At 40.3% G+C, this 26,413-nt stretch overlaps 1 protein-coding gene and 1 pseudogene across 4 annotated transcripts in view, besides 2 other annotated features; one reads left to right on the top strand and one right to left on the bottom strand.

The window, feature by feature from the left end:
* The window catches only part of ZNF595 (zinc finger protein 595), a 34,888-nt gene extending 15,172 nt beyond the window's left edge, over positions 1-19,716 (bottom strand). For 2 of the 4 annotated variants that reach the window (NM_001286054.2, NM_182524.4), the window contains exons 1-3: positions 19,546-19,716; positions 13,481-13,607; positions 12,884-12,979 (exon numbers count right to left, since the gene is read on the bottom strand). Coding sequence is in view for 2 of the 4 variants with exons in the window: in NM_182524.4 (NP_872330.1) it covers positions 12,884-12,979; positions 13,481-13,607; positions 19,546-19,548 (226 nt within the window). In the remaining 2 variants the exon portion in view is untranslated. The remainder of the gene's footprint in view (positions 1-12,883; positions 12,980-13,480; positions 13,608-19,545) is intronic. The other 2 variants (NM_001286052.2, NM_001286053.2) reach the window with 2 other exon arrangements.
* Positions 17,973-18,913: an enhancer, noted in NCBI's record as "H3K27ac-H3K4me1 hESC enhancer chr4:54018-54958 (GRCh37/hg19 assembly coordinates)". NCBI's record gives its function as "activates a minimal SCP1, AML or CMV promoter by ChIP-STARR-seq in naive H9 embryonic stem cells {active_cell/tissue: H9 hESC(naive)}" and the evidence as "EXISTENCE:reporter gene assay evidence [ECO:0000049][PMID:30033119]".
* Positions 18,914-19,855: an enhancer, noted in NCBI's record as "H3K27ac-H3K4me1 hESC enhancer chr4:53076-54017 (GRCh37/hg19 assembly coordinates)". NCBI's record gives its function as "activates a minimal SCP1, AML or CMV promoter by ChIP-STARR-seq in naive and primed H9 embryonic stem cells {active_cell/tissue: H9 hESC(naive and primed)}" and the evidence as "EXISTENCE:reporter gene assay evidence [ECO:0000049][PMID:30033119]".
* Positions 21,516-24,141, top strand: LOC105374377 (BCL2/adenovirus E1B 19 kDa protein-interacting protein 3-like; annotated as a pseudogene).

Below are 26,413 nucleotides of genomic sequence, written 5' to 3'. Positions count from 1 at the left end.
CCCATCCCAACTCTCACTGCATCTGCCTGTGGATCCTCAGCTTTCCAGAGTTCTGTACCTTCTCAGTGTAAAGGCTCCTTTCATGTCTAATTTGAGCCAGGCTGGTACACCTGCAGGAAAGGTTCCCCAGTAAGTAACAACTGGGCTACTGATTACATCCTTTGACAGTGTCAAGATTGGCCTTACCCTGCAGTTAATGGGCTTAGGTCTGATTCCCAGTCAAGGTTATTCCCTTCATTTTATACAAAAGGAACTCAGTGTTTGAAGAATCCAGCAGAATTCCTCAAACTCAGCACTTATGTTCACAGGAGAAATGGAAATTGGAAGGCACTTACATTTCATACTTCAACAAGAAAAGCCAAAATATCCATTTCAGACAGCAAATGTCATTTAGGTATTATTTCCATAATAACAAATAATTAAGCAATCATTTATGAGCACTTCCAGGAATGTCAAGTCCTAGTCCATAGAATTTAACATTAAACTCAAATATGCAGATAACAGGATAACAGAGTAGACTTATCAACTATTGCAAATTCTCCACCATGCAGAAAAAAGAAACTGATGTTTTGGCAAATCTCTATAAACCACCAATGTATCTACCACGATTTCTTGTGGAAATGTATTCACTTTTCTGCAGCCATAAAAGAAGAAAATTTTTCCTATTTCTTTTCACCCAGTAATATTTTTATAACTAAGCCCTGAGATTCTGTGTGAAATAGCTCCCAAAATGTACAGATTTCAGAAACTTACTACCCTTGCTCAGGGAAAAAAAAAATGAAAATAAGAATTTTTAACAAATGAAATACATCACTAGATTTTTTTAAAATTCACATTTGTATGCCTCTTTGAGAATATTTTTCTATTTTTCAAGCTCTACAAATAGAATGCATTGTGCAGTTAATAAAAATGAAAGCTGAAATAAGTAAACAATCTTTTCAAGATGACAAACCCAGGGAGTGGCAGTACTGGCCGGAATGGTATGTCTGACTCAAGTGGCAAGTTAGGCCATCCTATGATATAGATCCTCCCACCCCCATCCTGCTCATTGAAATACTCAATGACCACCCTCCCAAGGGCCTCTGCACTGTGTGCCTCTGTGTGCCTGGAGTACATTTTTTTTTTGCAGGTCCTTGTATCACCTTGCTAGAATGAACATTCAATGTTGTTGGGGATACTTTTTTCCCCTTCCACAATTCTGAAAAAATCCAGATGGTAGGAATTATTTCTGCCTTTCCCATCAATATCAGCTTTCCATTGGCTGACCAGCAATGTGTCTCTAAAACATGGAAACTGGATTTGGAGAAAGAAAATCTTAATGCCATAAGGATTTGGTGTTTTGGATGAAAAGTAAACAAGAAGAGTGCTTTAGCATCAGGGCACTCAGCTGCTCCCGTGAGGCTCTACCCTATACCTCAGGCTGCCCACCATGAGGATGTGATGCAGTAGCTGTCATTCCCTAGACATTCCAAGAGACATGGCCACCATAGGCATCTGTGGTCTTCCCAGACAGTTCTGAAACCTAGGACCAGGAAAAGACAATAGGATGTATGAGGATGAATTACCTTGTGAAATTGGGAACCTAAACCCAAGGGCATTCTGATAAGGTGTCTGCACCTGAAGAAGACAAAAGAAGAGGCACAAAAGATGCATACTTTCACCACTGTTATTCGACATAGTATTGGAAGTGCCAGCCAGAACAATTTGACAAGAGAAAAAAATAAAGGGCATCCAAATTGGAAAGAAAGAAGTCAAATTATATCTTTGTTTGCAGATGATGTAGTTTTATATTTGAAAAAAACCTAATTAACTAGAACACTATTAGAACTAATAAATTTAGTCAAAATATAGCATTTAAAAATTAGTAGTGTTTCCATATGCCAACAGTGAACAATGTGAAAAAGAAACCAAGAGTAATCCCATTTACAATAGCCACAAATTAAAATTAAATACCTAGGAATTAACATAAGCAAAGAAGTGAAAGGTCTCTACAATGAAGACCAGGAAATACTGATGCAAGAAATTTAAAAAGACAAAAAAAGGAAAGATATTTTATGTTCATGAATAAAAAGAATCAATACTTTCTAAATGTCAATACTACCTGAAGCAATCTACAGATTTAATGCAATCCCTATCAAAAGATCAATGACATTCTTCACAGAAATACGAAAAACAATTCTACAATGTAGACAGAACCACAAAAGACTCAGAATAGCCAAAGTCACTGTAAGAAAAAAGAAACTGGAGGAATCATCCTATTTAACTATAAATGATTCTACAGAGCTACAGTAATTAGAACAGCATGGGACTGATCAGTAAAACAGTAGAGAGAACACAGATATAAACCCATACATCTACAGCAAACTTATTTTTGACAAAGGTGTCAAGAATATTTATTGGAGGCTGAGCATGCTGACTCATGCCTAATCCCAGAACTCTGAAAGGCTGAGACAGGTGGATCACTTGAGATCAGGAGTTTGAGACCAGAGTGGCCAACATGGTGAAACTCTGTCTCTACTAAAAATACAAAAATTAGTCAGGCATGGGGGTGCACGCCTGTAGTCCCACCTACTCCAGAGGCTGAGGTGGGAGAATTGCTTGAACCTGGGAGGCAGAGGTTGCAGTGAGCCAAGACTGTACCACAGAACTCCAGCCTGGGTGACAGAGCAAGTCTCTGTCTTCAAAAAAAAAAAAAGGATATTTATCGGGGAAAGTGCTACAAAAACTCAATATTCATATTCAGAAGAACGAAACTAGACCCCTATCTCTGGCCATATAAAAAATTAAATCAAAATGGATTAGAGACTCAAATCTAAGACCTCAAACTGTAGGGATTCAATCAAGCTGGTGGGAAAAAATATTAAAGATAATTATCTACCGTTGGTGCTTTCTACTTGGAAAGTCCACAATGTCAATTACTCTTTAGTAGTGTTGACTCAAGCCTTTGTCAATTAGTCTTTACTAAATAAATGCGAGTCTCACTAGCTGGTCAGGGTCACAACTGTTTACAGAACTCTCTGGGGAGTCTGTAAGTGGCCCGGACATCCAGCTGGACTGGCAAAACAGAATATCTGTGTATCAGTGTACTTTATTCATCTGTCGTTTGGGTCACGGTCTGTGGGCAGACCCCCGCATCGAACTATGAAACTACTGCAAGAAAACATTGGTGAAACTCTTCAGGAAATTAAACTGGGCAAAAATGTCTTGAATAATACCCCCACAAGCACAGGGAGCCAAAGCAAAGATGAACAAATGGAATCACATCAAGTTAAAGAGCTTCTAAACAGCAAACGAATCACCATAAAGAGCTTCTAAACAGCAAATGAAACAATCAACAAAGTGAAGAGACAACACACAAAATTAGAGAAAACATGTGCAAACTGCCCATCAGAAAAGGAACAACCAGAATACGTAAGGCACATAAACAGCTCTATAGGATAAGATCAAATAATCTGATTATGAATGTGCAAAGAACGTTTATAGACATTTCTCAAAAAAGGGCATACAAATAACAAAAAGGTATATGACGAGGTGCTCCACATCAATATCATCAGAGAAATGCAAATCAAAACAACAGTGAGATATTATCTCACCCCAGTTACAATGGCTCTTATCCAAAAGTCAGTCAATAACAAACGCCAGTAAGGATGTGGGGAAAAAAACTCTAGCATTCTCTTGGTGTGAATGTAAATTAGTCCAACCACTATGGAGCACAGCTTAGAGGTTCCTCAAAAAATGAAAAATAGAGCTACTATATTATCCAACAATCCCATTCCTAGGTATGTACATAAATCAGGACATCAAAGAGATATCTGCACCTCCATTTTATTGCAGCAGTGTTCACATTAGCCAAGATTTAGAAGCAATCTAAGTGTCTATCAACAGATGAATGGATAAAGCAACTGTGGTACAAATACACAACGGAGTACTTTTCAATCATAAAAAAGAATATGATCCTGTCATTTGCAACAACATGGATAGAACTAGAGGTCATTATGTTAAGAGAAATAAGCCAGGCACATGATGGCAAACTTTGCATGTTCTCACACATTTGCTGGAGCTAAAAACTAAATTGATTTAATTCATGGAGATAGAAAGCAGAAGGATTGTTATCAGAGGCTGGAAAGTATAGTGAGGGGTTCAGGGGAAGTGGGGAAGGTTAATGGATACAAAAATAATTAGGGTAAGATTTAGTAGTTGCTAGTACAACAGAGTGACTATAGTCAAAAGCAATTTAATTGTACATTTTTAAGTAACTAAAAGAATGTTATTAGATTGTTCGTAAAATAAAGAACAAATAGTTGAGGCAATGAATAACCATTTATATGATGTTATTTTTGTGCATTTCATGCCTTCATCAAAATCACTGATATAATCCATAGATACATATAGGTACTACGTACTCACAAAAATTAAAATAATAAATAAAATATAAATTTAAAATGAAAAGCGTAAAAACAAACACCACTGGTCCTCGTTTCTTCATAGATATATGAACTTAACACCACGCTGATCACATTGCCTTTGTGAGAATTCCTGAACATAGTTAAGAATTTGTACTACTTCAGTTGAGCACAATGCCAAAAACATGTAGAAGAGAAGAAAAAGCTTATTAGATATGCCCAGCGCAGCCTGACCTCCTCCCAATACAGCATGGTGCAATCCAGGAGAAACTCCCAACTCTATGCTTCTTCCTCAGGAGACAAAGAGAAATGTGGAATATATGTCCACATTCCTGTCTTTTGAGGGACTGTCCGAAGAGGAATTTTGTCTCCCCTGACGTGCCTCCTCTGACGTAGAGTGCTGAAGGGAATGGTGGTATACTTCGGATGACAGCTATGCATATTTCGCATTAACATAAGACGCAATCCTGACGTGGTGCAGTGGCTCACACCTGTAATCCCAGCACTTCGGGAGGCCGAAATGGGCGGATCACGAGGTCAGGAGATCGAGACCATCCTGGCTAACTCAGTGAAACCCCGTCTCTACTAAAATACAAAAAATTAGCCGGGCGTGGTGGCGGGCACCTGTAGTCCCAGCTACTAGGGAGGCTGAGGCAGGACAATGGTGTGAACATGGGAGGCGGAACTTGCAATGAAACGAGATGGCGCCACTGCACTCCACTCCGCCTCAAAAAAAAAAAAAGAAGCAATCCTAAAATCATATCAGAACTGAAGAGACCAGAAGTGCTGAACAACTGTCAAAAAGAGAAACAACATCATAAGCACCATACCTCCTGATTTTAAACACCTATTATAAAGTTATAGTAATTGAAATACTTTATAACTCAATTTTAAAATACCAGTGAAACAGAATAAAGAACACAAATAGTCCCTTGCATATATTATCAAATGAAGAGTAATTTACACATCCATATTCACGGTAGCATTATCTACAAAAGCAAGTAAGTGAAAAGAACTTTTCTTAATAAATAAATGAATAAAGACAATTTCAAATATATAAATAATTAAATATTACTCAGCTTCTTAAAAGCAGAAAATTTTGTTAAATCCACAATAAGGATACATTTTTAAGGCTTTATTTATGTGGAAGAAGCCCAGGCACAAAAGGACAGAAACGATATAATTCCACTTATGTAAGATACCTAAAGTAGTTAAACTCATAGAAACAGAAAGAAGACTAAACTGTGTCGGGGTTAAGTGGAGAAGAAAATGAGTAACTGTTGTTTCATGGACAACCTGTTAGAATGCAAAACAACCCCCCCACCCTTTTTTTTTAAACTTTAAGATCAGAGTATATGTGCAGGTTTCTTATACTGGCAAACTTCTGTCATGGAGGTTTGTTGTACAGATTATTTGGTCATCAAAGTATTGAGCGTAGTTCTCATCATACAACACTGAATTATACAACACATCCTTTCATACCACCTGTAATAAAACTGGAAATCAAAAGCAGAAGCAAAATTGCCAAATCCAAAAACCTGTGAAACTCAACACACTCTTGAACATATTCTTATCTGTGTCAGTTGATTTGATATTGTTAAATGACCATACTACACAGTGATATTCAAATTCAACGTAAGCCTAATGAAAATAAAAATAATACTTTGTGAAAAAGTATTTTTTACAATTCTTAACTTTTACATGGAATTTCAAAGGACCACTGATAGCCCAAACATTCTTAGAAAACAAGAACAAAGTTACATGCACAACGTTTCCTGTTTTTAGAACAGATAACAAAGCTAAATAAAAACAGTGTGGTACTTGCAAGAAGACAAATAGATGATGGAACAGAACACAGAACTCAAAAACAAACCACTGTGTATATGTTCAAATGATCTTCAACAAGGTTGCTATAACCACACAATAAGAGAAAGACAGTCTCTTCAATAGATGGTGTTGGAAAACTGTATATCCATATGAAAAAACTGAGGTTGGATCCTTCCCCTGAACCATATACAAAAACTGTCTTGAATGAGTTAAATATTTAAACGTAAGAATTATAATTATACAATCTTTAGAAGAAAATATAGGAAGATTATGACATTGATCCCAGCAATGTTTTCTTGCATGTAACATCAAACACATGAGCAAAAAATTCAAAAGCACAGAAAAGTAGGACTACATTAAATTTATCTCTCCACATTAAAGTTTTAGTAAGAGTCCCACCTAAGCAGCAGAAAAGCCAAAATATACATATATTTGACAGAAGATAACATCCAGAACAACTCCAAAAAAAAAAACAAAAAGTTACATGACTAATAGACAAGAGATGAAAATGTTTCTCCAAAGATGAAATACACAATTATTGAAAAAAAATTCTAATCTTTAGAAAAATGTAAAGAAAAACCACAATGAGGTATTACTGTGTATTAAGATGGCCAATATCAAGCAAACAAAAAATAATATATATTGTCAACAATGTAGAGAAATTGAAACCCTTGTACACTGTTGGTGGGAAAAACGTGATGCAGCCACCTGAAAAATGTATGGAGGTTCCTCCAAAAATTAAAAATAAAGTTACTGTATGACCCAGTAATTCCACTTCTGAGCATCTATTTAAAGTATGCAATGTATACCTGAAAGAAGTATTTGCACATCCATATTCACTGTATTAGTTTATTCTTGCAGTGCTATAAGAAAATTCCTGAGACTTGGTAATTTATTTTAAAAAGAGGTTTAATTGGCTTATGGTTCTGCAGGCTGTACGGCAAGCATAGCAGCTTCTGCTTTAGGGGAGGCCTTGAAAAGCTTCCAGTCATGGCAGAAAGAAAAGGGACAGAGAGTCATCTCACATGGTGGGAGCAGGAACAAGAGAGCACGAGAGGGAAGGTGCCACATGCTTTTGAAAAATGAGATCTCAGAAGAAGTCACTCACTATGGCAAAGACAGTACCAAAGGGGCTGCTGCTAAACCATTCGTGAGAAGCCAACCCTACGATCCCATCACCTCCCACCAGGCCCACCTCCAACACTAGGGACTGCAACTTGACATGAGATTTGAATGGGGACCCAGATCCAAACTATATCACTTACAAAAGCCAAAAAGTGAAAAAACTCAAACACCCTTCAATAGATGAATGATTTAAAAAGATGTGGCTTATACATACAATGAAATATTCTTTAGCATCAAATGAAAATATCTTGTCAGATGCTACAATAAGGATAAATCTTAAAGCCATTATTTTAAGTGAGATAAGACACCAACAAAGTGACAGTGTATGATTCCACGTATATAAGATATTTTAAATAGTAAACTCCTGGAAAACGGAAGTAGAAAGGTGCTTGCCTATGGTTAGGGTTGTGAAACCTCAGTGGTGCCAAAGATCAAAAAGGGTTATTTGGGAAAAGCAGGCCCTCACCCAGGTGGCCAACTCAAGGGCCCACAGACATGGCTACAGACAAGGAAATGGGGCACCGAGCTTGGTCTTACTGAAGATTACAAAGCAGTTCTGCAACCTCTCTCAAACTCCTTCAGCTATAGTCCAAAAGTGGTCCTTCCCATCAAGTGACCTGCAGGGAAACACACCCAGCCATGGCCCTGGAGGCAGGCCTGCAGATCTTGGCCTCAACTGTGCTCCTTGAAGCAGCCCTGTGACTCAGTTCTAGCTCTCACAGCCACAGTCCATGGCCAGTTGTACACACTCAGGGACCCACATGGAGACTTGTGAAACCTGTTCCCAGGTAGTTAGTAGAAGCCAATCCCATTCATACACATGGTATTTGGGCCATCATATGCAGACAAACTGTAAAACCCTACCCTACTGCCTGCCATATAGATTAATGTCCTCAAGGATATTTAATCTTTCCATGGCCCAGAAAGAATCCATGACTGTCCAAATCTCTGGTAATACAACCATCAAAGGCAGACCCCATATCACTCAAACACAGATGTATGGTAAGTTCTCACTTAATGTTCAAAATAGGTTCTTGAAAACTGCATCTTTAAATGAAACAATGCTGCTATATGCCATTTAAACAACAGACCTAGCAGCACCCTTGTGACACAATGGCCAGGCTAGTCTGGAACTCCTGGCCTCAAGTGATCTCCCCACCTTGGCATCCCAATGTGCTGGCATTACAGGTGTGAGTCACTATGCTCGGTCACTTTACATTTATTTTGATTAAGTTCCTTATTTTTATACTATTGCAATTGGAAACTTTCTCTCTTTTTTGGAAAGTTTGTTGTTACTATATGGAAATGCAACAAATATTTGTATGTAGGGTCAGGTGCAGTGCCTCATTTCTGTAGTCCCTGCACACTTTCAGAGGCTAGAGGCCAAGGAAGGTGGATCACTTGAGCACAGGAGTTTGAGATGAGCCTGGGCAACAGAGTGAGACCCTATCTCAAACAAACAAAAAAACCCCACAAGTATTTTTATGTTGGTCATGTATCCTGATACCTTAATGAATGCATTTATTAGTTCAGTTTTTGTTGTTTCACTCTAGGGTTTTGTATATACGCATAATTATATTATCTACAAACAGTAACATTTTTACTTTTATTCCAAGCTGGAAAGCTTTGTTATTTTCCTTGTCTAATTGTTCTGATACAAACTTTCAGTAATATGTTAAGGTAGAAGCTGTGGCCCTGGAGGCATGCTTGTGGATCTTGGCCTCAGCTTTGGTCCCTGAAACAGCCCCATGTCTGTATATTTGAAGGATCTAACAACTCTTAACAGTTTCTATAAACTATGGCAAAACCCCATCTCCACTAAAAAAAACTATCTTTGGCAAGTAAAGATCTCCTTTTATTGGGTCCCCAGGCTGATAAGATTACCTCTGGGGTTGCTGAGAAGAAAGGTCATAGCTGGGTCACAAGGGTGCTGCTGGGTCACAAAACCCCATCTCCACTAAAAATACAAAAAAATTAGCCAGGCATGGTGGTGCGCGCCTGTAATCCCAGCTACTCGGGAGGCTGAGGCAGGAGAATCGCTTGAACCTGAGAGGCGGGGGTTGCAGTGAGCTGAGATTGTGCCACTGTACTTCAGCCTAGGGAACAGAGTGAGACTCTGTCTCATAAAATAAGTACATAAATAAAATAAATTTTAAAATGTAAAGGATGAGATAAAAATGTATACACTAACACAGTTAAGATATTGATGACAGAAATTGAAGTAGGTAAAAATAAATGAAAACATATTCCATTAGGATAACTAATATTGTCAAGGAATATTATCCAAAGTGATATGGAGATTCAATGTCATCCCTATCAAAATTTGAGTGGCATTTTTCACAGTAATAGAAAACACAATTGTAAAATTTAAGTGTTATCTTAAATAACTTAAAATAACCTGAGCAATCTTGAGAAAGAACAAAGCTGGGGACATCATACTTTCTAATTTCAAACTTTACTTAAAGGTCATGGTAATCAAAAGAGTATAGTATATTCATAAAAACAGATACAAAAACCAATGCAACAGAATAGGGAGCCCAGAAACATATCCATGCATACAAGGTCAACTAATCTTTGACAAGGCCACCAATAATATACAATGCAGAAAGTATAGTCTTGTCAATACATGGTACCAGAAAAACTGGATATCCACAAGCAAAAGAATAAAATTAGACTATACCATAAATAAAATTTTCTTATACCATACCCCAAAATTAACTCAAAATAAAAGACTTAAATGTAAGACATAAAAGCTTAAAACTCCTGAATAAAACATATGGAAAAACCTTGTTGATATTGGTCTTGGCAATTTGGTATGTCATCAAAAGCACAGCAACAGAAGAAAATACAAAAGAGTGGGACTGCATCAAAGTGTACAGCTTCTGTACAGTAAAGGAAAAAACCAAAATTTTAAAAAATCCTACACAATAGAAAAATATTTGCAAGCCATATATCTGATAGTTAATATCCAAAATGTGTAAGAAACTTCTGCAATTCAAAGCAAAACAATAATGATGATAACCTATTCAAAAATAGGCAAAAGGTTAGTTTTGTTTTTCCCACAAAGAAGACATACATACAAGGGAAATCCTGTATGCCACTAGTGAGATATAAATTGATAAAGTCATCATACAAATCAGTAAAAAATAAAAATGAAAGCATCACATAATTCAGCAATACCACCTCTGGGAATACTACCAAAGGAAATAAAATTAGTACCTCAAAGAACAATCTTCAGCCCCATGTTCATTTTAGTTTTGCTTAAAATAGCCAAAAAAATTTATATATATACACACACAGTAGAATACTATTCAGCCATAAAAGAGAAGGAAATCTAGCCATTTACAGCATTGATAGACCTTGAAGACATTACGCTAAGTGAAATAAGCCAAACACAAAGAAACTGCATGTTCTCAGTTAGATGAGGAATCTAAAAATGTAAACTCATAGGAACAGAGAGTAGAATGGTGGTTGTTAGTGCCTGAGGGTGGGAATATGAGGAGATGCTGTTCAAAGAGTACAAATGATTAGTTGTAAGTTGAGTAAGTCTGAGAAAGCTAATGTACATTAGCATTAGATTAGCAAAATAGCATTGTCTTTATAGTAATACTGTAAAGTATGCTTACAATTTGCTACAACAGTAGACCTCAAGTGTTCTTGTGACAAAAAAAAAAATGGTTATCTATGTGAGGTAATAAATGTGTTCATCAACTTGACATTTTGTTTCAAAATGTATATGCATATCAAATCATTACATTGTACAAATTAAATATAGTTATATAATTTTATCAGAAAAATCCGTATCACACAAACACAGATGTATGTTAAGTCCTCATTTAATGTTCAAAATAGATTCTTGAAAACTGCATCTTTAAATGAAACAATGTTGTTACATGCCATTCAAACATAACTTGTTTTTATTTATTAAACTCTGGTAAAATTAGTTTTCTTAAACAATATGTTGCTTTACTTACAGTTTCCAAGAACCTATCAATGATGTTAAGCGAGAATTTCCTATACACATATATGACTCATATAGGTATGTGTATGTGTGTGTGACACACAGTTCTACATATAGATGGATTATAGCTCAATGACAGAATCCCAGGAGGCTTCCTACTAAATAAGACAAAATTATAAGATAATAGTTTATCAAGAAATAAGGTAACAATTGAGAGCTTAATATACACTTAGGAATGTTCTAAGCCGGTTAATGACATAGTGCATTTAAGAAATCTAGAAGGCGGGCCAGGCACGGTGGCTCAGGCCTGTAATTCTAGCACTTTGGAAGGCAGAGGTGGGCGGATCACTTGAGGTCAGGAGTTCAAAACCTGCCTGGCCGACATGGTGAAACCCCGTGGCGGGCACCTGTAATCCCAGCTACTCAGGAGGCTGAGGCAGAAGAACCATTTGAACCCGGGAGGTGGAGGCTGCAGGGCAGCAGAGGTTGCAGTGAGCCGAGGTCACGCCACTGCACTCCAGCCTTGGTGACAGAGCAAGACTCCGTCTCAAAAAAAAAAAAAAGAAAAAAAGAAAGAAATCTAGAAGGTGAGTAGATACTTTAAACCAGTGGTATCCAATCCTTTGAGTGTGAGGACGTTTTTGCTTATCTGTGGTGATGGGTATCAAAAAAATTATTCACAAACCTATTTCTTGTTTCTTAGCTCATCGGCTATCATTACTGTTTGTGTATTTTATAATTTTAAGTGTGTCCCAAGACAAATCTTCTTCCAATGTGGCCCAGGGAAGCCAAGAGTTTGAAAACCTGTGCTGTAAACTATATTGTAATTTGAAAATTTGAATATATATAGAGTTCAAATTACAAATTTCAGTTTATACAAAATAACATTTTGAAGTAAAATAACATATTTTTTCATATTTGGAAAAACGCTTATTGTTCTGATAAAATTGCTGAGTAAGAGTTTTTGTAGAATTACATTTGCAACCTCTACAGGATTAAAAATCACTAAGCAGGGTGATGCACACCAGCATGGCACATGTATACGTATGTCACTAACCTGCACATTGTGCACATGTACCCTAAAACTTAAAGTATAATTAAAAAAAAAAATCACTAAGCAGAAAAGATGCAACATCTGTCCTCGGTGTTCCTAAGATTTCTAAACCAAATCCCATTATGTCCACTACTCACCTTACGTATTTTAGGCATGATGCGAAAATAATATTTGAAAAAATACTTTAACATAGAGGTCCTCAATAATACAAATACTCCTATGTCTCTAAAAGCAATGGAACAGCAGTCAGATTATGCAGCCCATTATAAGCGATAAAGTGGACATTGGCTCTCCTTGTAAACTTGGAGATCACTGAAGAAAAAAAGGAAATTCTTAGAAGATTTAAGAGCATGGGACAGAAGATGACCCTATTTGTGAATAAGAGAAAAAATGCAGCCTTTTCGGAAATTATTTTTATTGGCGCAGTTTCCCAGACTACATTTGAAGGCCTGGCTTCCTTCCTGACCTCTGGCCTCCTAGCCTGTGTCCTCTCCTTCATTCAGTCTCACCTACCTGGGGGTTTGGCTGCTGTCTCATGTATCTTCAAATTGCAGGGCTCTTTTATTTGCTCCAGACAGGTGACCAGGTCTGGGTTAGAGATCACAAAACCTGTTTTATTAAAAAAAAATTAACATGACTATTGCTGGGGATACTCCAATGACCAATCTATTACTATGCTAAGTAGAATAAAGAAATTATGGAAGACTCCAGAAAATTAATCCAAAAATTGTTTCCTGACAGAATCTTTAGAATACTGAAATATTTTAAATCTGTGGGTTCTAAGTTCCACTACCCAGTACTACTGAATCAAAAATAAGTGGTGCAAATTAGATTTTAGATGTGGAAAACAATATTTTACATCACTGAATTTCTAGAATTACTACTATCCTAGAGTGAAGGACACAAATTAGCTCAAGAAAAGAGATGGTTTATGCAATGATGAAACATCCTAAAGATTTTCTTTTTACACCAGCAAATCCCAATTTTTTTCTTGTAGAAAGGCACTGAAATTAATTAATGCAAAGCAGAAGCACCCAAGAGACATTCTGCAAAGAAAGAAAATGAAACTCTGAGGAAGTATTAGGAATTATGTATTGAAGTTATCCTCACCCAGGGAGACCAGGTTCCTGTAGTTCTCCAACATCACATCTCTATACAAATTCTGCTGGGCAGGGTCCAGACATTTCCACTCTTCAGGGGAGAATTCTATGGCCACATCCCTGAATGTTACGAGTTCCTGAAAACACATATTTATCATGTGACAGAGTTCTTAATTTGACTATAAGTGAAATCAGAGAACTAGTTGTGACTTATGGGGCTGACTGGAATTATCTGATAAAATAACTTTTAACACAGTAATGTTATCTAAAGTATTGTATAATTCTGAAGAAAAAGGAGGGCATGCCAGCAATTTTTGTTGCTGCAATGGAAATATGGGCTACACTGATCTGTCCCTACCAAAACCAAGCAAAGCAGGTCCTGTGACCTCCTTGAACAAAGGGTGAACTCACGTCTCATTAAAGTAACTGGAAGCCCTCATGCTTGACCCTGGCCTCACTGTAATGTCACACAAGAAACTTAACAGGATCTGTGGGGAGGGAACAGGTGACTGTTTCTCTTCAAACTGCCATGTGATCCTACTGGAAGACTGGGCTGAGAGTCACTTAGCTAAACATTGCCTCTCAAGCTTCAATGTGCACATAAATTTGGTATTCTAGGCCTCACTGTAAGTAACAAAATTCTGCAGGTTTGAAAAGGGTCCATTAATCAGCTTTTTATAGCCAAGTCTCCCATTAATGCTCATGCTCCTCCTAGACCCGTTATAGTACCACTCAGCTAGAGAAAGCAGACACAGCACGCAGAGTCCCTTACCCCAACACCCTTATCACAACACAAATACTTTTCATCCGAAGACAAGACCAGCAATCAACATCCTGAAACGTGGCATTATCTGCAAGCCCTTTAAAGGTTACAGAGGCTGGAGATGGTGGCAATGTCTGAGTAAGTCTGCATTTGAAAAACAGCACATCCACATGCATTAATGCGATATTTGTGGAGCATGTACTATGTGCTCAGGAGTATGTCACAGAGCACTGTGCTGGGAAGCTCACATTATGTGTGTTAATTCTCACAGCATCCTGGGAGGTGGGTACAAAGTGTGTGATACTTCCCAGGATTTAAATGCAGGGCCCAGCATTTCTATTTTTTCTTCTGTTTTCCTATCATTGATTTTTAAAAAATATATAGAATAATAGCTCAATGTAGATAAATGGGAGAGACACAGAAGAAAGTTTTAAGTACAATTCGGGAATTTTTTATTTTTGTGTTTATAGTTACTTTGAGACTTGTGAAAAATCCACTGAAACTGCAAAGATGGAGAACAGGTTGCTGGATGGGATGTCTCTAGAAATACTGGTTTTAATTTTACATAAAATAATTTAAGTACATTAAATTCAAAGTACATTGCCTTTCTCCATTTATCAGCTTTTGTGTTTCAGGAAATTGGGAGCACCAGCTCTGGAGAGGCAGTAGGAATAGCTACTCCAAACTCTGATCTTCTCTAAGCAGTTCTGTGAGGTATTTCAGTGTGGGGTCAGACCTGGACAAGGTTCAGTAGAGGGGGGATCTGGGCAAAGTTGGGACAGAAAATGGGCCCTAGGCTTCTGCTCTCTAGGCCACTAAGTAGTTTCAGTTTTGTCTTTTCTAAGCCTGCCCAAAAGAAATTTGATTCCCAGAGTTTGTGTAATTTTTATCTATTTTGCCACTTCCCCATCTATAACATACAATAACAAGGAATTTAACCAAAACCCTTTTGTTTTTCCAGACCAATTATATTTGAAGTTAAATATTTATTCTTAGCAAGGCAAAAACAATACAAATAATGACTTCTCTTCTGTCCATAAACAGCCATGCAGGTGGTGGTATCAAAACTCACAAAACAATAAAAGGGAAGTAACCCAAACGAAGCTTAAGTCTCCTGTACAGTTTTCATCTTTGTACTGAATACATGACGCTGAATTCCATCATTTATTAATGTGCTCTAGAATGCAAGTTCCTTGATGGTAGGGACCACGACTATTTCATCTCTTTTTCTAATGTCCATATGAAACACTGACCCAGTCTGCACAGGACATCCTCAAATGTCTCAAATACTCACTGATGCTGCTGAGAGTGTCCCCAGTGACCCTGGGCTGATGCCCCCATAGTGATCCAGGCAGGAGACTCAGGCTGACTTTCTGGGGTGCAAACAGAAAATGGAACTGCCCTGATGGAGCTGCAGATCCTGGATCTGGATGTGATATCCCCTGTCCCTGATCAGCTAACTCTGAGGTAGGCGAAGGAAAAAAGTACTCTACTCCAGTAACACAGGGAGGCATAGTTGGCATTATGGCTCTGGATATTTAGTGGCCTTGACTTCCCACTGCTAAGGTGCTTGTTTACACTTACAGATTCTGCCACAGTATTGTGTTCACACCAGAAGCCTCTTACTCAGCTGTAGCAGGTCACTGGACAAGATCTGGAAAACTCAAAGGGCTCCACTCTGAAAGTGGGGCTTATGTCTATGCTGACCTCTCATGATGCAGAAAACACCTTCTGTGACTTTTCTGTATCTCTTCAACCCAAAGTCTGGCCCTGTCTTGTGAATCCTGGGCAGAAGCCAGCTTTTATGTGCAGATTCTAGGTGAGATCAATGTGTGCTGCATTCTTGAGTTACAGGAAACAGAGTAAAATCAGAGGAAAGACCTTCTCATGAAGCCTCCTTCAACATATTCTAAAGAATATTTTGAGCTAAAGGGAAAAAGCTGGGGTAAACATAAGTAGAGAGTTTATTTGAGCCAAAGCTTGAAGACTGCAATCCTGGAGTATAAAGTTGCCCTGAATATACACTCCAATTAGAAGCAGTTACAAGCATATTTTTACAGGCAAAAAGGAAGTCAGAGAGGAGATTGATAGAAAGGTGTCAGAAATTCTTATTGGTTTATAGAAGTAACATTGGTTAGTGATTGGCCATATACATAGTTAAGCTATAGGGTATGGGTCATAGTGTCCAGTGTGGCATTATTAGGTTAATTTACAGCCACTTGTGGCAATAGCAAGCAATTTCAAAAGACAAATAGTTCAAGGAGGAGAACAGTATGTGAGTGTGGTCTCATTTTAACACATCTCTGGGTCTGATAAATCTAAAAACTTGTATTTCTCAAATAAAAGTTCTTTTATCAAATCTCAGGACATAAATTCAGAATTTGGAACTGCACATTTAGGTCTTGGAGGGCTGGTGAGCTATGTTTGTGGGCCACAATGTGGCCCATGCCAAATGTTTGTGGGCATGTGGGCAAGGGGAGGTGGGAGGGAGCAGAATTTCTCAGGTTTAATCGATGCGTATGTGTGAATCTGGTTAGGTTTATGGGCCCCATATCTCTGAAATCAGTGTCAGAACGGAAGATGCCAGGAGCACTGAAGGCGGTGAAATAACTGACTGCTGTCCTGAAAAGTTATTTTTGTAGAAATTTAACTGCTCTAGAAAGGACTGTAGATGCCAAGAGAGAGACCATTCTGTTTGCAGATTTAGGAAATACTTTGCTGCACTTTGCCGCACAATTGCAGGTTGTGACTGGAATCCTGAGAAAGAATGTTTTCTCAAGTGAAGTCTGCTCGACATTTTGTGTATAACATCTGGTAATTCTGGACAGTGTGTGGAAAATATAACTAAAAGCAAAATCATCTGCAATCCTAAAAAAGTCTCCACAGTAACAGAACTGCAAGAAAATGTTTTGTTGTATAATTAAACCAAAATATGATGTGCATCACAAGCAATCTAAGAAAATGCAAACACAGAAAGTCACCATAATTAGTTCTCAAGTAGAAGCCTTGAAAGCACCATTTGTCATACACAATTTATTATAATTTCATCATGTAATTTGAGAGGTCATCTGGGTTTTCTAATTTTTTCTAATCATTAAAGAAAAAATAAACATCCACATCTTCGTGACAGGATGTAGATTTGCAATGTGGAGCTAGGTACCTGCTGAAGGCAGCCTCCTAGTCCCCTACAGAAACTGTGAAATAGGGTGTATATTCTTGCTATTTACATTTCAAAGCAATAGTTCCCAGGTCCCAGATGAAGACAATTTTGAGCCAAAAAAGACAAATGACCTATTTAACTGATAAAAATGATTTACATATATTTCAAAGAAGCAGAGAAAATATTTAAATATAAAAGTTCTCAAACTAAATGCTTTAAGAAAAAGGAGAAGAGCAAAAATTCTTCCCTCGTTCTAAAGAGAAAGCATTAAGCCTCTTCTAATTTGTGTTTGCTCCTACAACAGCCAGGCCAAAAGGCCTGGTTTCGAACTCACTAACGTCTGAATTCTCATAGGCACCTGAGGGATGGACTTGGGCACACCGTGTACACAGAAAAGAGAATTTGTGGGGAAGGAAAAAGCAGAAGAGAAAGGAGCTATCAACAGCCATGGGTGGGAGGCCGGGCGCGGTGGCTCACGCCTGTAATCCCAGCACTTTGGCAGGCCGAGGCGGGAGGGCTCAAGGTCAGGAGATCCAGACCATCCTGGCTAACACGGTGAAACCCCGTCTCTACTAAAAATACAAAAAAAAAAAAATTAGCCAGGCATGGTGGCGGGCGCCTGTAATCCCAGCTACTCGGGAGACTGAGTTAGGAGAATGGCGTGAACCTGGGAGGCGGAGCTTGCAGTAAGCCGAGATCACGCCACTGCACTCCAGCCTGGGCAACAGAGCAAGACGCCATCTCAAAAAAAAAAAGCCATGAGTGGGAGCAGGGCAGGACTGACTAAAGCACTGGTTTGTGCCACAGGTACAGGCCGAGGCAGGGCTACGCTCTGATTCCATGTCTACAAAGACAGAAGGGATTAGGATCAGGTGGTCCGGAAGCCTGGGTGGGTGAAGGAAGCAGGTTCCTGCTGTAGATCCGGTCTGCGGTTGAGATGAGCCAGGAGACTTCTGGGCACTGCGTGTGTTTTTGGCAGAAAACGCTAGGCGCAAAGCTGCCATGGGCACAATTCCTGAGGTGGAATCCTGTACTGGGAAGAGTGGGGCAATGCGAATGCCCGGTGGGCGTGCTCAGGAGTGGACTAGCATTGGGTGGGGGCTGGCAGCAGGGTGCAGGGAAGGGATGTTTCTCAGAACTCCTTTCCTCTTTGTTCTGGGTCCCCTCTCTCCCCGGAAGGAGACCTGGAGGAAAAGGACAGTGCCCAGCGGGACAGCACATATGCAGAACCCGGCCGCGCCTCCCGCAGACACCAGGCATCTTTCTCCAGCCCAGGCTCAGCCATGTCTTTCTTCTGACAGAAAACGTGCGGAGTTTCCTCAACACCAGTCAATGCTCCAACCCCAACGCGGTGTCCAGCAACTCACTAACGACACCACCCAGAGTCAGCGCAGACCCCACAAGCTCAGCGCTCTTCCCACAACTGCTCCCGCTGCAGACGCCAGTCCCTGCCTCTGGACACCCGTCTTCATTTCTGAACGCCTGTCTACAAACCAGGGGCGCCCACACCCTCAAGTTCAGCAATGTGGCAGAACTACTCACAGAACTGAGAAGCGCCGTGCGCACCGACACCAGCGTATTCTAAAAGATGTTACTCAGGAACAGCCACGCGGAGGAGGTGCACAGGGCAAAGGGACTGGTGGAATAGTTGGAGCGGGCGGGTGATTTGCTTCGCTTGCTCACACACCTCACAAAAGCCTTTCCTTCAAGACCCGCTGGCAGTCCCCAAACCAGGAGCCGCGGCCGACGCTGTCCCATTAATGAGACCCCGTTTGCTCACATGAACTTTGTTTCGATGGGGCCTCGATCTCATTCCGAACAGGGTAAAGTAGGGACCGGACCCCCGGACCACAGCTCCTCCCAGGCGGGCACCTCGCACGCGGGCGCCGGCGTCTTCCAGATGAGCTCCTCCTCACCCCGCGGCCCAGGGAAGGTGCGGGGCTGCGGGCGCAGAACTGCACAAGGAGGGCCGCAGGCTGGGCCAGAGCCGCCGTGCGGGGACCGACAGGAGCCCGGTCCGTCACCGGAGGGGACTGAGGGCTGAGAGGCGGCAGCGGGGACTCCGTTCGCAGACTCGGTCCCGCCGCCGCCATTTCCCGCCGGTTCCGATGAGGCCTCCCCAGCCTCCGGACGCCCTGCCCCGCACACTCACCATTTCCCGACTTCAGGGTATCCGGGAGTCTTAGCTACAAATTGTCCAATACCCTCAGGTCACAGAGCAACGGGAGGCAGAGGCTGTGGCTGAATCACCGAGGCCTCCCGGAGCCGAGAACGCAGAGAGCTGAAGCCCTAAACCAAGCCCTCGCAGGAGCCAGAGGAAAACGCCGCGCCAGATCCCGGAAGCCAACCCCTCCTCTCTGGCTGCGGGCCTGATTGGGCAGTTCTCATTCCGACACTCTGATTGGATATTACTCCAATCCCCGCCCTCGGGCCTTGAGTAACAGAATTTGCAACCATACACTCCACTGATGTGGCAAGAGTGACAGGCTGGGGCCTCCAGGCCCTTTCAGGCGGGGCTTTCTCTCCCGGCTTGGCCTGACGCAGCCCAGGGGTGTTTTTTTTAACCTTGTTGTGTGTAAGGTTATGTCCACTTGTAAAATACACTTACACACAGACGTGCACACACGCGCGCACACACACGCGCGCACACACACGCATGCACACATGCATGCACACACACTTTTTCACAAACGGAAGTGATATAATGACAATTATTTTAATATTTTAGATTTCATAACCCTTCTGGCCGCTAGTCTTTTGAGTAGGACACCTGAGATTTTAAGAGGGAAGCAATCCTTTAAAAAATAAAATATTAATTTGTGAATTTTGCGTTTTTATTAGCCACGTCAAAAATAATATTTAAAGAGTGAAGTTGTTTGTAATAATTTTTAACTCATTGTATCAAAATATTGTTTTAATATGTGATTGATATATAATTAGAAATAAAGTATATTTCTGATCTAATTCTTCTAAACTCACTGTGTATTTTATGTATTTCTGATCTAATTCTTCTAAACTCACTGTGTATTTTATGTTTGCAGCACATTTTACTTCAAACCAGTCACATTCCAGGTACCCAGTAGCTACATATGGCAGGTGGCTGCCACATTGAGCGCAGCCATGAGGGCTCTCTTCCCTTAGGGAAGTGAGGGCCTGAACACCTCTTTTCTGCTGGAAGTAAGGGACCAGCCTCTCTACCAACTTTTCTCCTCAGGCTCAAGGGTGGGTGGGACAGTGCCCCTAGAGAGAGCAGGGGCTGCAAGCTGAGAGTATCCACGTGAAGACCACGGTTTCCCAGTTGCTGTTTGGTGGAGGTGTGGTGGTCTCCTCGGTTCAGCCAGGTCGGGACTCTTGTGCCACGACCAAAAAGAATGAAGCACACGGATACCAGAGAGTGAGCAAGGCAGAGTAGGATTTATTAAGCAAAAGGAAAGCTCTCAGAAGCAAGAGGGGACCTGAAAGCAGGTTGCCAGAAATGAGGCTGAGGTCTGGGTCTTTTATGTGGCAAGAACAAGTATGTCTTCTGTGGGTTCTGCCCAAATGGGAGGGGTAAAGTTCCTCACTAAGGGTGTTGCATCTGCGCATGCCTGGGATTGGCCACAGTGACTCCATTTTGGTTATTACCCATGAGTGCCTAAGCGAAACTTACACGAGGAGAGCCAAAACCACAATGCTAATGTCATGTTAATGACCTTATAATGAGCTGGGTCAAGTTAAGGACATTTGGGTTGATTTATTGCGCCTGTGCTAAGTTGGGACAGTCCCTTTGGAGCAACATCCTGGCATAAGAGGAAGTTCTTAACCACATTTCTTCCTGCTAGCTACAGAGGTGGTGCAGGTGCGGTCCCACACGTGTTTTTCCTCTCCCCAGGCCCTCTCTCTATCTGCCTAACCAGCGTCCGACTGCCTCCTCTATCAAAGGTTCCTCTTCCTTTCAAATATCAGACAGCAAACAAAGAATGTTGGGGCCACACAAGCAGAGAACACCATGTCTTCAGATCTCTTCACAGCCTTGTCCTCCAGAGTTTAGAAGTGGAGGGAAAAGATTAAAGGCAATCTTCTTGTTTTGCTATTTGTCCTTGGACCTAATCTGGACCTAATTTGGACACACAGGCTGTAACTATGTGTTTTTCTCCTTTGGTGTGGGGCACTGTGAGTTTAAGCACCAATCACATGCATCCACATCTAACTGCACTTCTGTTCCCAGAACGAAGGCCGTGAGTGTGAGTTGTCCAGGTCCTTGGCAACAAAGAATTGAACAAAATGCACAAAGTAACAAAGGAACAAAACAGAGGGAGGAAGCATCAAAAGCGGAAATTTATTAAGGTAAGAAATAGGGTGGGTATGGGCTTGAGCAAGTGGCTCAAGGACCCAGTTACGAAGTTTTCTGGGTTTTTAGTACTCCTTTTGAGGTCCCTATCAGCTACCACTGATATGGATTAAGGATTTGGTCTGTGGCTAATTAAAGGCTTAGGAGAATTGGCACGCTATGCGGATGAAGGAATGCAGGTGCTTGGCCTGCAGCCACTCCAAGGCACTTTCCCTTTCTACCTGAGAAGTGGTAGAAAGGGGAGGGTTGTAGGGACAGTAGCCTTTGATCCTTTGCTATTCAGGTGTGGGGAGATGGGACTTTTTCTTTTGGTTTAGCTGTTGGAAGTTTGCCTTAATTGGCCTTAGGTTTCCTGCCTCCAGACCTTGGTGTTTTTTCTTTTAGGAAGTCAGCACAAATTGGCCTTAAGTTCTCTGCCTCCATACCCCATTCTCCTGCCTCCCTTCTGTACAAACCATTTGTTATACATAGTTCATCTTAAACTCACCTGGTAATTGGGGAGGCCTTCTGTGTATGCTGGTTGGTTATATGCAAAGAAAAAATAAACTTCCAACATCATGATAGGAGGCAGTTTTGCAACTTAGAGCCAGGTGCCTGTTGCAGGTAAGCCTACCTTACCTTCAGCTGTAAGTGGCTCTAAGTGGCTCTAAGTCACCCTCCATCTCGTACAGAAAGAGTGAGATAGGGTACTATCATCTTGGCTATTTATATTTCTTTTTTTTTCTTTTTTTGAGACAGAGTCTTGCTCTGTCGCCCAGGCTGGAGTGCAGTGGTGCGATCTTGGCTTACTGCAAGCTCTGCCTCCCGGGTTCACGCCATTCTCCTGACTCAGCCTCCCCAGTAGCTGGGACTACAGGTGCCCGCCACCACACCTGGCTAATTTTTTTGTATTTTTAGTAGAGACGGGATTTCACTGTGTTAGCCAGGATGGTCTCGATCTCCTGACCTTGTGATCTGCCCGCCTTGGCCTCCCAAAGTGCTGGGATTACAGGCATGAGCCACCGCGCCCGGCCGGCTATTTATATTTCAAAGCAATGGATCCCTACTCACTAAGCCCTGGGCTGCAGCAATTCTGCTTGCCCTCTCCTGGTGGCCTGTGTCCTCTCCCAAACCCTGCCATCTACCACTGAGGCACAGCCCACAGCTGGCAGCTCACATTTTACATTAGAGAGTGGGGTCCCCACATTTTACATTACAGAGCGGGGTCCCTGAGCTGCAGGAGGAGAGCCTGCAGGGCTCTTGGGTAGAATTGCACTTTTGCAATAAGGGAAACGGGAGCAATGTTTCAGCCTCAGTTTCTATTTATAATACTGACACAAAAAGAATATTGCTGGATACATAGCATGGATCTAGATAGAGCAGCTCCAGGAGTTCTCACGGTGACAGCCCCCCTCACTCACAGACACCATGTGATATTAATAGGGCTTAGACACAAAGCACTGAATTCCCAAAGCATTGAAGAGAAAGACAGCTCTCAGTCTGAGTAAAACCGTATTGAGAGAAGAAAAGAGGTTGAAAGAATCTTAAAGACAAATTCAGATTACATGTAACATTGGTCAAATTGACCAGAAAATATTCTTCCAAAGAAGTTCTTCTCTAAACACCAAAAGTGCACAGCTACTCTCAGCATGAGAAATACAAGTATTATGAGAAAGAGGGCTTATTCTGAGCAGAATTTCCATCTCTGCTGCTCTCCCATCTGCCGGCCGTTGGATTGGGAATCTATACTGGAACACACCTGACAACCTCCACCAGCACTTTTTGATGAAGAATTGGAATTCACTCTATTCACATAGTAGAATTATATCAGAGATTGCAAGATAGCTAACTGAAGAGCTACTATGATTCTTGGGTGGCCACATCACCTGCATTTATTTGTCCGGGAATAGTGGCATTCCTAATTTAGTAAAATAAAAGAATAGACTGTAAAATTATGCTGACCTATAATTATACCTATAGGATCAATTAATAAACATGTCAGGTTAATATCTACTGTAGCAATGTGGTAGTAAATTTTCTTTGGGTATTAAATATAAATGTGTACATATAAATAATTTTGGTATATTAGTCATAATGTATATATTTTAAAAATTATCTGTAAGCTTAATTACAATATTTTATAATACTTTATATTTCAAACAAATTAATGCTTATATTAAAGTTATATAAACTTAATTCAAACAAATTAATACTTATAATAAAGTTATATAAACTTAAAGTTATAATACTTTATATTTCAAACAAATTATACTTATATTAAAGTTATATAAACTTAATTCAAACAAATTAATACTTATAATAAAGTTATATAAACTTAAAGTTATAATACTTTATATTTCAAACAAATTAATAACATTAATATTAAAATTACTATTTAAGAAGTTTATTCAAAATAAATATTGTGGCCTTATATTCACACAATTGTAGAAAATACTGTTTAATTTACATGGATGCATGTTGTCTACTAAAGACTAAACAAAACTATGCTAATTTTTCTGAAGTAATAAGTAGAAACCAAAGCACAGCTAAAAATTCCATTGCTCAGTTTATACACTAACAGTTCTAGCTTTTGCAGTGTTAAATACTTTAGGCTCCAGATATTATCACCTTTGATATAATCGCCTTGGATGATTAGTTTTCTGTTGGAGAAACTTAGTATCTTTTACTCTTCATTACTCTGTATTGCTGAATTGAATCCTATCCTTTGTGCTCAACTTTTGTGTGATCTTAAAGTGAGCTTTATCATTCTAAACAAATCTGTGTCTACTTTAAAAGACTGAAAATGGAAAAAAAAAAACTTTGCCAAATCAAAAGCAAAAACAAAGTGGTGGTTCTCAGGTCCTAGATAAAGAGAATCCTGAGTCAAAAAAAAGAAAAAAAGGTAAGTTTTATTTAGCTGTTAAAATAATTTAAATATATGTGTGTATTTCAAAAAAGCAAACAAAAATGTACGTGTAGGCTAAATGCTTTTTAAAGAAAAGCAACAGCTGGATTAAGGACATGATCTTGAACTTCCAGACATCTGAATTTCAGTACACACTGGATTTAGGTATCTAATGGGTGGTCCTGGACACACTGTGTACACGTAAAAGAGAAACTGTGGGGAAAAATGTAGAAAACAGAAAGGAGCCACCAAAAATCCATGAGTGGAGGACAGTAAAAGGTAGGTGGACAGACTGGTTTGTGTTAAAGATAATGGTCTAGAAGGGGCTATACTCAGAATTATTCCTGTGTCCGTGCAGGCAGTTGAGATTATTAACAGGTGGTGGAGAGAACAGGTTGCTGTTGCAGATTCAGTGTCTGAGGGTAGAATTATACTAGGAGACCTATAGGCACTTGTGTAGGTTTTTGGCAAGAAACTAGAAGAGAAGGCACTGTGATGGGATTCCTAAGGGTGGTACTTACTCCTGGGAGGGGCATGGCCACATTAATACCTCCTAGGAGTATGTTTATAAGTGAGTGAAAAGTATGTGATGGTAGCTGTAGGCTAAGGGGGTCTGTTCTGAAGTTTTTAGTCCCCTCTTACCTGGGGAAAAGAACTGAAATCACAGGAGAATGTGCAGTGTGACAGCCTATATACAGGAGAAGAGAGCCTTTCTTCTCCAGACACCCAGTCTTTCTCTAGCTCAGGCCCCTGTCGTCGTCGTCGTCGTCTTCTTCTTCTTCTTCTTCCTCTTGTTCTTCTTCCTCTTCCTCTTCCTTCTTCTTTCTTCTTCTTCTTTTCTTTCTTCTTCTTCTTCTTGTTCTTGTTCTTCTTGTTCTTGTTCTTCTTGTTCTTGTTCTTCTTCTTCTTCTTCTTCTTCTTTGTTCTTCTCCTTCTTCTTCTTCTTCTTTTTTGAGATGGAGTCTCACTCTGTCACTTAGGCTGGAGTGCAGTGGCACTATCTCAGCTCACTGCAACCTCTGCCTCCTGGGTTCAAGTGATTCTCCTGCCTCAGCCTCCTGAGTAGCTGGGACTACAGGCGCCTGCCAACATGCCCAGCTAATTTTTGTATTTTTAGTAGAGATGGGGTTTCACCGTGTTGGTCAGGCTGGTCTCAAACTCCTGACCTCATGGTCTGCCCACCTCAGCCTCCCAAAGTGTTGGGATTACAGGCATGAGCCACCATGCCTGGCCGATGTCTTTCTTCTAACACTACATCTGTAGAGTTTGAGGAATACAAAGCAATTCTCCAACACCAACTAGTTGTTTAACATTTTAAATCTCACACCACCAAAGTCAGCACAGGCCCTAGAGTCCAGAGCTTAGTCCCACAACACTGCTCTTACTGCAGATGCCAGTCAGAAACCACAGGTACCCATACGTACTTCTGAGCTACTAAGAAGTGAGGACTCCCATAACCCCTTTCTCAAGTTTGAGAATTTGATTAAAATACTCACAGAACTCAGCCAAACACTGTACTTGTGTATAACAGTTTGTTATAAAATATACAACACAGGAACAGTTGGAAATGGAACAGGTGTATAGAAGCTACAGAGCCTGGGCAGGCTGGGGACTTGTAGGCAGATGCAGCTGGGGATAGGATGAAAGGGGATTGGGACAAACTTTCTGAGGATACAATTTTTATTGTCCTGGGGTTGTTTATAGACTTTGTCAAATAAAACAAATTCAGATTTAGGGAAGATTTAGATACACATGTAACCTTAATATTATATACCTATTTTTGTAATACTTTATAGTTTATAATGT

This window comes from Homo sapiens, chromosome 4, assembly GCF_000001405.40.
Source record: "Homo sapiens chromosome 4, GRCh38.p14 Primary Assembly".
Taxonomy (NCBI): Eukaryota; Metazoa; Chordata; class Mammalia; order Primates; family Hominidae; genus Homo; species Homo sapiens.
The sequence above is the reverse complement of the archived record's forward strand: the minus strand, read 5'-3'. Positions and strand labels throughout refer to the sequence as shown.